Genomic DNA, 11,894 nt, shown 5'->3' with positions numbered 1-11,894 from the left:
ACCTGTGCTGTTCGCTGTTCGGGGCATTTTCAGAGTGGGATGGATCCCATGTAATTGTGCGATTCTGTCACAACATGCCAGCGTGACTCTGGATGCCTTTGTGCTGAATTGTTGACTGGTTTGCAAAGTCATCAAAAAGTTCTGCAGAAAAATAGGGAAAGATAGTTCACTCTTTGGAGTGAACATTGTTGTATGAAATTCATTGGGCAGGGGGACTTCATTTTAATAAGTAGATGTTAAATATATTTCATGTCTTCTCCTGTTTGACTCAATGAATGAGAGCAAATGCAGGTGGTTCGTACATTAAACAGAAATGATAAAACCTTATGTCTTAGTAATAATTAGGATCTGTCACTTAATAATCTCTGTCTTAAGGAACCAGTTGCTAAGGGATACTTCAAAGGGTTGCTTCAAAGTAACAGTAAATTTAACTGTATTTTACCAAAGATGTTTACATATTCTCTCCATCTTCCTGGTTTTAGCCACTCAATGTGGTGCTTCAGGCTGCTATGCAATAGGTAAACATATTGATCACCCACTCTTCAGGTTAATAAAAAATGTTACAAACATCTATTTTGCCCAAACTATGCTTTCTCATTCTCGAAGCTGAATCTGAAGTAGAAAACCAAAATAAAATGGCCCACTACCATAACAACTATAAAAAGGTGAGACCAATTTCTTTGTGAATCAGGGAAGGAGTAGATAGACATATGAAAATAATTTCTTTAATGCATACTTTTGCATCAATTATTAAAGCTGCCATCATAATAAATAGCAGTTTACATCATGCCTGGAAATAATGCTGCCCCTAATCTGTCTCTCTGATAATCACAATGATAACTATAATAGTTCCAGATCAGAGGATCCAGACCAAACTGAACCCTTGTAAATCAGATTACCTCTGTGGTTGCACTAGAACTGTTCACAATTCTCAGGATTCATAGAAAAGGGGAAGGCTTGTGTCTCTATCCTAAGACAGAGTTTTGGGAGGAGGACTCTGTACCACCTGCCCAATTACCTGTGGTGCCTGCAAAAAAGGCAGAATTCTAGGACTTATTCCAAACCTGCTACATCAGAATTCTTCCAGTTGGGCTCAAGAATCTATATTTTTAATAAGCTTATTGGTGATGCTGGTGTACCCTAAAGTTTGAAACTCACTGCCCTGAGGCCAAGACTATGCTGTATTTGGTAGATTCACAGCTTTCTGCAGGTTAAATGAAGAAATATTTTTCTTACCCATTCCTCCATTGGTATTATTATTATTATTATTTTGAGATGAAGTTTTGCTCTTGTTGCCCAGGCTGGAGTGTACCCACCTCGGCCTGGGAATCCATCCACCTCGGCCTCCCAAAGTGCTGGGATTACAGGCATGAACCACTGTGCCTGTTCTCATTTTGTTTTATATATTTTCTTCCTGTGTTCAGAAAAAAGGATTTCAACAACCCCAACCTTTTTGTCAATTTTTAAAAGTTTTTTTAAAAATTATCAGCTGGACGCAGTGGCTTATGCCTGTAATCCCAAAACTTTGGGAGGCTAAGGCAGGAGGATTGCTTGAGCCTGGGAGTTCAAGACCAGCCGGGGCAACATAGCAAGAATGTATCTCTACAAACAATAAAAAAAAAATTAGTCGGGCATAGTGGCACATGCCTGTAGTCCCAGCTGTTCAGGAGGCTGAGGTGGGAGGATTGCTTGAGCCCAGGAAGTGGAGGCTGCAGTGAGCCATGATGGTACCACTGCACTTTTGCCTGGGTGACAGAGTGAGATTGTCTCAAATATATATATATATGTATGTATGTATGTATGTATGTATACTGAGAGAGAGAGAGAGAGAGAGAGAGAGAGAGAGAGAGAGAGAGAGAGAGATTACTCTTCTCTGTTAAAGTAAACACAGAGTCTTGCTGTGTCGCCCAGGCTGGAGTGCGGTGGTGCAATCTCAGCTCACTGCAACCTCCACCTCCCACGTTCAAGTGGTTCTCCCACCTCAGCCTCCTGGGTAGCTGGGATTACAGGTGCCCACCACCAGGCCCGGCTAATTTTTGTATTTTTAGTAGAGATGGGGTTTCACCTTTGGCCAGGCTGGTCTCAAATTCCTGACCTCAGATGATCTACCCGCCTCAGCTTCCCAAAGTGCTGGGATTACTGGTGTGAGCCACTGCACCAGGCCAAAATAATTTTATTTATTTACTTATTTATTTACCTGTGAGACTTTTTGGTATTACAACTAATAATAGAAACATACCAGTAGGATTCACTGATGCATTTAGAGAATGTAAGCAAATTGTTTTCAGTTATGTAGGGCTAAAGACAGTTTGTTGAGTAGGATTTAAAATCATTCCTTTTTTCTTCTCCTTATTACACTTAGCACAGTGCCTGGTAATAGTAAGTGATTCATAAATGTTAGCTAAGATTATTCTTACTACAACCTGAGCTTTTCCTGTAAGGTGGTTGGGGGACATCTGTATTAGAATGATATTTGCTAAATCCAATTTTATTTCAAGGTCTGGGAAGACACTGTTAGGTTGGTTTCTTTCAGATGTCACTTTCAATAAACTTCCTTATCTCCCATTATTGCTAACCTGATCATGCTGGTTGTCAGTCAACAACCTTTCTTATGCCATCACTACTGTGTCTAATATTGTACCAGACACTGAAGATCTCCAGGGATTTCAACATTACCTAAAACCTAGAGTCCAGTCTGTTTCAGTTTTTACTAAAAACAGTGAAGTAATTTGGAAAAAAACCTATGAATTTGGTGAGTGAGGAAAATGCAAACTGTGCAGAATGTTTTTCATAATATTATCTGCTTTTGAAGCCCAAGAAATATAATGTTATGTAAGTGCCATAGTTCCTTCATAACCTGATTGCCTCTAAAAACAGTAGAAAACGCCTTCATTGTAACTTGGCCAAGTACTATATAGTGTACAAGTAAGAATTCTTTCTAGGTAATGGGCTTTTAATTTCATGATTGAAGTTTTGTAGTCACCCAATTATTCTGGAAAATCTCAGTCTTGAGCTCTTCAAATAGTGCCTTTTCCACATTCTCTTTATTATATCTTTCTAGTACATTTTATGTGTTGTTCATATATTCTAGCTCCTTGTATGTCTGCATTAATCCTTATGATTATTTATTTAGATCTGTCTTCCAGTTCTCTAATTCGCTCTTTGGCAGCATTAATCTGTTACCTAATCTATCTCTTCCAAATAACTAATTCTTTTAAAAAATATTTTCTTGAAAAATCTTACTTTTTATTTGTACATTGACAAACTATACTTACATATATTTTAATTCTTTTTTTGAGTTATGTTTAATGTGTTTCTTAATCCACTTATTAATGCATTTTTACAAGTTCTATTTTTTTTTTTCAAATTCGCTTGGTCTTTCTTATGGTCTTGTTTCTTGCTCGTACACCCAATCTTTTCTTTTATTTCTGTAAAAATATTAAATATATTATTTTATATTTTTGTATCTTATTCAAATACCTGAAGTCTTTGCAGGTCAGACTTTGCTATTTGTTATTTCTGAAGCTCTTTGTTATAATACCTTGCTATTGTATGTACTTTTGATTTTTGGCTATGAGTTCACATTCTGTGAGGATTTTTGAGGGTTGAGATAAAGTTGGGTTTCTCAAGAACCTGGTCTCTACTGGCTTCATCAAAGTTCAGTTGTCCTTTGAGGACTCCTGGGAGTCAGGATGCTGGCTTTATTTATTTATTTCCAATAGCTTTTTGAAGTATTATTTACACACCATAAAATTTATCTGTTAAAGTTCAGCTTATTTTTGTTCAGATTTTTAGAAGACTGTTGATGGATTGAGTAAAATCTAGAAGTTGACATACTGAAGGAAAAAGCTGATGTACTTGTTGTGGGAGGATGGGGAGAGGACTTGAATTATTTTGATGAAAAGGAATGAGACAAGCAAATGATTCAAGTATTTATAGATTAAAGAATTTGAAGATTAAAAGAATTGTTACCGAGAAATGCAGTTAAAGGAAAACATAAATACAGTAAGTGGAAGAGGACCAGAAAATTACGTTTGGTTAATTCCTACTCATCCTTCAGGTTGCTTTGAGGATGCCAATTCTTCCTGGAAGCCATCCTTGATCTCTCCCAATCTGACTTAGGTGTCCCTCCAATATATTCCCAGATCTCACTATTTTCTCAATTAGAGTAATTATCACAATGTGTTGTTAATTACTTGCTTACCTTTCTGAGTCTTCCTCTAGAGAGCAGGGGTCAGAAAACTCCTGTGCCTATTTTTGTAAAGTTTTATTGGAATACATCCACACCCATTCATTTATGTATTACTTATAGATGCTTTTATGCTACAATGGCAGAGTTTAGTTGCAACAGAGACCCCACAACCTAAAAAGCATACAAATTAACTTCTGATTCTTTACAGAAGAAGTTTATTCTAGTCTATGAAGGCAAAACAGTGCTTGGCTTGTTTACTGTTGCATCTCCAGCACATACCACAGTGCTTGTCACCTAGAAGGAGCTAAATAAATACAAGTGAATATATTGATTGAATGAAAAAGTTTTCAGATCCTGCTGTAATTGAGTTGGGGAAAAAAACAAGAAAAAGTTTTCAGAGACATCTATTTTGGGGTTATATGGAACTTAGAATGAATTTAATCAGAAGATATATAAAAGTGGGTATATAGTAGGTAAAAATCCCATTAGAAAGAATTTTAATACAATGTTTATAAGTCAGAGAGGCAGCTAAGCATAGTAAGAAGAATCAGCCAGACCTGGGGTCCATGGCTGCCTCTCACTCGCCACGTGGTTTCCATCAAATAATCAACCATGTTGAGCTTCAGCTTCCTTTTCTAAGGGTGGGGCTTATGATTTCTACCTTCATAGAGTGCTCTCAGGATTCAGTGAGAGGCTATGTGCACAGTCCCTGTCACATAACTGACTCTCATAAATGCTGGTTCCTTCTCACTTGTTTCCTTTCCTTCCATGACAAAGTAACTTTCTTTTCCTTGCAGATAGACTGGAATCAGTCCTTTGGTGAGGTTTTAAATGACCTCAAGCCCATGTTATTTGTGTTTTCAATGCTCTTTATCAGATAAAAGTCTGTGTTCCACTCAAATGAGTGCCATGTTGTTGAAGGCATGAAGCCAAAGGGGCAACCACCCTAAGATTTTCCTCCTGTTTCACAGCTTAAACCTTCCCACCATAAACACAGAATTCATCTGAGTTCAGGATCCTCTGTAACTAAAAAAAAAAAAATGACTGAAGTGCTAGAAAAAGGGATGGTTTGTGCAGGGGCAGCTCTTGGTGTGGGGTAAGTTCTGCCTAGCACAGTGTCTTTTCCATCTCAGCAGGACTTTTTCCACTGTATCAGTCTGCCTGTCATCTGTGTGACTTTGGGTAGCTCACTTAACATCTCTGGGCTAGTTTCTTTCTTCCTTTTTTTTTTTTTTTTGGAGATAGAGTCTCTCTCTGTTGGCCAGGCTGGAGAGCAATGGTGCTATCTCGGCTCACTGCAACATCCACCTCCTGGGTTCAAGTGATTCTCCTGCCTCAGCCTCCCAAGTAGCTGGGATTACAGGCATGCGCCACCACATCTGGCTAATTTTTTTTTTTTTTTTTATTTGAGACAGTCTCGTTTTGTTGCCAGGCTGGAGTGCAGTGGCGCAATCTCGGCCCACTGCAACCTCCAGCTCCTGGGTTCAAGCGATTCTCCTGCCTCAGCCTCCTGAGTAGTTGGGACTACAGGTGTGTGCCACCATGCCCAGCCAATTTTTGTGTTTTTAGTAGAGACGGGGTTTTGCCACGTTGGCCAGGCTGGTCTCCTGGCCTCAAGTGATCTACCCGCCTTGGCCTCCCAAAGTGCTGGGATTACAGGAGTGAACCACTGTGCCTGACCTCTCTGGGCTAGTTTATTTTCAAATAGAGTCTCTCTACCAAATCACAGGGTGCTTGTGAGGTAGATAAGGTAATATCGATCCCAGAGGGTGGAAATTTTAAAAATGGTTAAGTGGTATAGAAATGCAACTTTCTACAGCAGCATGGCCAATTCCCTGCTTTGCTGGAATCAGAATAAATGCTTCCTTTCTTTCCCTAATGAACGCAGGAGCCAGCCATCAAAGTGGGTGTAGGGCCTATGATGTAGTGGGAAAGAACATGTCGTCTAGGGGCACATGGGCTGAGCTCTCATCCTGTCTCTGTCACCTAGTAACTATGTGACCTTGGGATATTACCTAACCCTACTGTCTTTTTTGGTCAAAGTTGGATAATAATACATATTTTACAGGGCTTGTCAAGAAGTAGAGGAAATAATATATGCTAATTTCTTGACATATCAAACTCTTAATAAATGGTTGTTGCTATTTTATTTTCAAGACATACATTAGGAAACAGACATCTTTCAATGTATGAATTTCAGCAAAATGTTCTTTCAGCTGCGTTTTTGGTGGTCTCCATCAATTCTTTATTGTGGGATCTTCTGCCCCTAATCCTAGAAGCTCCTGTGGGCCTTGTTCCAGGTTCAGTGCCCTAAGCCTGTTGATGCTGTGGAAAGGCTGGCAAGAAAATTAGTATTTCTCCTGGCAATTAGCGATGAGTTTCTCTTTCTTGGTAGTAGGTGAAAGAATGAAAAGAAGACTCCTGTAAATGGAGTCTTTGTTAGGTAACAGGTTACCGTTTCTGCCATAGTTATGCAGATGAGTTGTTATACTGTTTTTGAAACATCTGCTTGACAAATCCCTTTAGAGTCACTCTTTGAACATAACATATATCTTCCCCCATGATAGCAATAATAGGCCACTCTGCAGGTTAAAGCAACATGCCTTTCCCTACTGGATATCAGTATTTTCCCATCAACATTTAGTAGATCCTAGGCAATCAAAAAGATACCAGCTGTCACTAAGATTAGCCACCATTATTGTTCTTATCATTATTGTGTATTGTTAAAATCTACCAAAGTGATATTAAGATTGTCCACATGAGTGCTCATTTTTCTCATGTTAGCTCAGCATTTTTCTCTGAAGTCTTTTTGTTCGTGAATGCCCAAAAAATAGCAGGCAAAGGAGAAACCTGGGAAAATAATTGGAAGAACTTCTCTACCACATTCCAAAGACAAAAGAGGCTGTCACCATGAATAATTTTTCCTTCTATCATGGCACACTGCAACTGAATTGATATTTATCTATATGTGATGGGTCCTACATAGCTAGTATTTTTGTATTTCTCTCTATTATATAGAAGAGAGATGATGCTTTAGAAGCTCTTCTAAGACTTGAGAGAAAATTCTAGTCATTTTAAAATTTATATTTATAAGTTTCCCCTTATCTTTCCTAATATTTTCCAGTCATTTTTCTCTAATTAAAACTACATACATAAACACACATTTGGTGAACATACACATACACCAAATGAAAATTCATATGTAAGTATTGGGAAAAGCTAAAATTAAACACAACAATAACCTTTAATACCTGCCTTTGCCAGCAGAGTAGAGAAATTTGATGTTGAAGAATGACATGCTAGAATCAAAAACATAAGACTATAGCTAAAAGAAGCCTCTAAAATGAGGCAGTTCTGTGTAAAAAATAAATGAATATGTGCCAAAGGTTTAGGTAGTTGGAAACTGTGTTATAATATTACTACCTCTGCTAATATTTAATAATATAGAGGCCCATGGGTAGTTTCACAAGGATTTTTATTTTCTGAGAATGATTTTGAGCTCACAAGCCACAAAAATCAACCTTATTTCTTTTCCCTATAAGAGTTCTTGTAGGAAAATATGTACTGATATAGGCTGAATCTCCTTATACCCCTCCACCTCATCCTGTAACTTGAAAATATGAACCTGAGGCTCCATTGATGAGTGACTTAGAGCTGAAAACTATGTTTTTCCTGCCAAAATAAAAATGACCTAAATTTTCTGAACTAATCTGCAAAATGAGGAAGCTTGTTTCTTGGACAAATAATTTATGACAATTTTCAAAGCACTGTCAAGTGCTATGGGCAAATATAAAGATGACTCAATCTGGCCTTCAAGACATTGATATTGGGAATACTAAGACATGTACACACATGAGAATAATAAAGAGTGACCTCAGCAGCTAGTAACTCTTCACCTAAAGTGCACTGGAAGTTCAAAGGCAAGAGGTGTCATTTCCTCTTGGGGGCATTGGGAAAGTTTTATGGAGAAGGTCCAATGTGGAATGAACCATGCTCTGTGGAGAGAGGGCATTCTAGGCTGAGGGTAAGAGTGTTGATTGGTGGTTAAAATCACAGAGACTTGAAGTCAAATCTTGGTAGTTTGGCCAGAGAAATGTACTTCTTTCTGCCTCAGTGTTTAACTAGAAAATGGAGAAATTCATTTGGTACCTGGTGCATGTAAGTACAAATATGTGAGTGCTATTATTAAAAGGAAGCATGCATAAATACTCACAGAGCTAAAAAGTATGGCCCATGGGTGGAGAAGAATATTAGCTTTATATAACGATTTGCCCTCAATGTGTATAAGCAGCTAGGATTCATGTAAAATACAATTAGTATTGACAAGGATTTGTTTTATTAGTTGTACATCTATAGCACAAAACAGTGTGCACCTGTGTGGGATCCTCAGTCTTCTTTATCAAAAAGAGATGAAACTCCTGTACTGATCAGTAGTGGGATCACGCCTGTGAATAACCACTATGCTCCAGCCTGGGCAACATAGTGAGATCCTGTTTCTAAAAATGAAAAAAAGAAAGAGATAAACAAGGATGTCTCCCTACCACTTACTGATGGAACTGATTTGAAGTATCCTTTTTTTTTTTTTTTTTTGGTCAAATTGGCAGGTCAGATAATAATAAGAGCTAACATTTACTGACACCATGTGCAAGTCACTTTCAACCTCATGACAATTGTGGGAAACAGCTGCTGTCATTACCATATTTTACAGATCCAAAGGGGAGGGAACAAAAAAAATTAAGTAACTTGCCTAGGGCCATACAGCTAGCAGGTGGTGGAGGCAGAAATTAAACTCAGGCAATCAGACATTAGAGCCTTCACTTTTACAATACTGTTCCATTGCAGTTGTACACTGAAATGACCAAGTCTTCTCCCTCCTGCCGCCTCGTGGCTAGTTGTCAGACCGTGGCAAAGTCAGTTTGATCAAAGTGATCCTAACAATTTGGACACCAATTACACAGAGCAATGGTTCTTAAACTTTTATAAGTCATGAGGCCTTTTGGAATCTAATGAAATTCTACGAATGCTCTCCCCAGAAAGATTCACCTCTCCCCTCCCCTAAACAAATAAACTTTTAGTTACAACTTCATGGAGTACACAGTTCCAACCCAAATCCATCCACTGAGACTTCTGGAGGCTAAAAGACTCTAAGGTAAGAACCCCTAGACCTGTAGTGACATCTATATCACTTTCATTATGGCCTGAAAATAAGAGAACACTTACTATCTTATTGCAGAAGTGAAAATACATGAGTCATTTAAAATCCCTGAGAGCTCTCCCCAACATTACTTGCAGACAAGTAATCCCTTTACATTTTAAGACATGTGTAGAAAGGGGATTTTTCTTATGTAGAGCCAGGTAAAGATTTATTCCTGGCTGGGCATGGTGGCTCACGCCTATAATTCCAGCACTTTGGGAGGCCAAGGTGGGAGGATCGCTTGAGCCCAGGAGTTTGAGACCAGCCTAAGCAACATAGTGAAATCCCATCTCTAAAAAAAAACTACAAAAGTTAGCCAGATACGGTGGTGTACACCTGTAGTTCCAGCTTCTTGGGAGGCTGATGTGAGAGGATCACTCAAGTCCTGGAGGTTGAGGCTGCAGTGAGCTGTGATTATGCTACTGCACTCTGGCTTGGGTGACAGAGCAAGACCCTGAAAAAAAAGAAAGAAAGAAAGAAAGAAAAGAAAAAAGAAAGAAAGAAAGGGAAAGAAACAACAAAGAAACAAAGAGAAAGAATGAAATTATTCCTGCTAATATTTTTTCCAGAGTATTATTCTAAGAAATCGATTCACTTTTATAACTTCTCAAACCATACAAGCCTGAGGAAGGACAACCAAAGGGGTGAGTGTCAGTAATCATGAACATTTAAAGAAGGCCAATGTACCTGAGGGTAGGCAGGCAGAAGTAGGCCTTATCATAGCAGCAGCCCTTTGATTTGACCACTCCAGCTCTCGATTGGTGTGCATTCTAGGTATTTATCTCTGTCAGTAACTTTATCCTTTAATGCAAAATTTGACGAGTGATTATTATTTATCAATGATAATTATGGCTAATAAGTGCTGATTAATCGAGTGCTGATTATTGGTAAAACACTTTTCTAAGTTCTTTATATTTTTTCTCATCCTCACATCAATCCTCAGAGATGGACACTACTATTATTCCCATTTTATAGATGGAGAAATTTGCCTCTGTTCAGAGCTAATATGTGGCAGAACAAGGATTCCGCCTGGGCTGCCTGACTGCAGAGCCCAAAGCCTGTCCTTTCAGCCACCTGCCCACTCTCCAGAAGAGAGCACCCTTTGTATTTTACCGTATGAGATCTCTGCACCATTCCCTACATTCTACACAATGGGGCTCTGACACCTACTTCTGATTTATCTGATTAGAGAACTGGGGGAGAACAGCCTCGGTTATGGTCCAGGCCATTATCTGCTCTTTGGGTGCAGGGATGCTTTTGGGTGTCCCATGCCAGGCTTGTTCCACCTGCTCCAGGATCAGATGATTGGTTCCCTTCATACAGACTCATTGCCAGTAAACTTGATTACTCAAACTTTGCTCAAGGGCCAACTCTGCTTAGTCCAGTCAGGGTCCTGCAAAGGAGCGCCGACCTGTCCCGCACATGTCTTGCATGATCTCCAGTCTGGGATGGCTGTGCTGCACTGGAAGGCTGTCTTATTAGCCATATGAACACTTTGTGCTGCCTTACCGACTCTATACTCAATTCTGCCCTTCCTCGGCTTTTTGTTCTTTGGTCAGCTGTGCCTGTGATCTCCAGGCTGTGGTGATCATTGGGCATAAATTCCTTGCCCCACTTTCCCCGGAAAAGGACTTCCTAATTGGGGTCTGAGCTGAAGTGGCTCTTCCTGTATTGAAATCCTTTGTGTGTTTTCATTAACTATGCTGTGTCATCACACAAGCAGTGGAGGTGGTGGTGGCACCATCCATTCATTCATGACACATTTATTAAGCACCTACTTATGTTCCAGGCATTGTGCTGAGTGCTGAGGTTGCCATGGTGACCAAGATCAAACTTGTTCCTGCTTTCATAGTTTACTGTTTTTGAATGAATCAGACACATAAAGAGGCAGGTGCAATACAATTTGATAAATATTCTGATAAGGCAATAACAAATATTTTGAGAGCACCTAAAAGGGGCAGCTATTCCAGACTTGAAGGGCTGGGGTGGACCCTGGGAGAAGTGGCATCTGAGACCTGAAGGGTATCTAGAAGAAGCTAGGCAGGCAAAGAGGTTGGTAGTTGGGTAGTAAGGAGGAGAAAGTGTTCAAGAAAGACGGAATAGCAAATCCAAAGGCCAACACACAGAAAAAGCATGTAACACCTGGGCAGCCGTGATTAGATCAGCATAGCTAAAGCAGAGTTTGCAATGACGTGTGGCCAGATATTATGCTGGTGAGCTGAACAGGAATGGGGATAAGAAGGGTGGCTATCATTTAATCTTTCTATGTACCATGTAGGTACCACTTGTCTTCATAGGCTAAACTACTGTTTCTTGAATATATAGGGGCAGGGATGAAGCTAAGGAGTAACATTTGTCGAGTCCTGGTACATGTTGGGGATGATGGATGATCTCAGAGACCTTTCATTCCAGACTCCAGCCCATACCACTCAAGGGCCCCAACCCAGCCAAATGCCTTCCTCCTTCAGGTAGAGTCCCTTGTGGCTCAATATACACCAGAGTCTTCCA

The 11,894-nt window shown here is 39.5% G+C and overlaps 1 annotated feature.

Moving 5' to 3' along the window:
- Nucleotides 9,098-9,277: an enhancer, noted in NCBI's record as "active region_1249". NCBI's record gives its function as "activates an Ori minimal core promoter by ATAC-STARR-seq in GM12878 lymphoblastoid cells {active_cell/tissue: GM12878}" and the evidence as "EXISTENCE:reporter gene assay evidence [ECO:0000049][PMID:35858748]".

This window comes from Homo sapiens, chromosome 1, assembly GCF_000001405.40.
Source record: "Homo sapiens chromosome 1, GRCh38.p14 Primary Assembly".
In the NCBI taxonomy this organism is placed as follows: domain Eukaryota; kingdom Metazoa; phylum Chordata; class Mammalia; order Primates; family Hominidae; genus Homo; species Homo sapiens.
The sequence above is the reverse complement of the archived record's forward strand: the minus strand, read 5'-3'. Positions and strand labels throughout refer to the sequence as shown.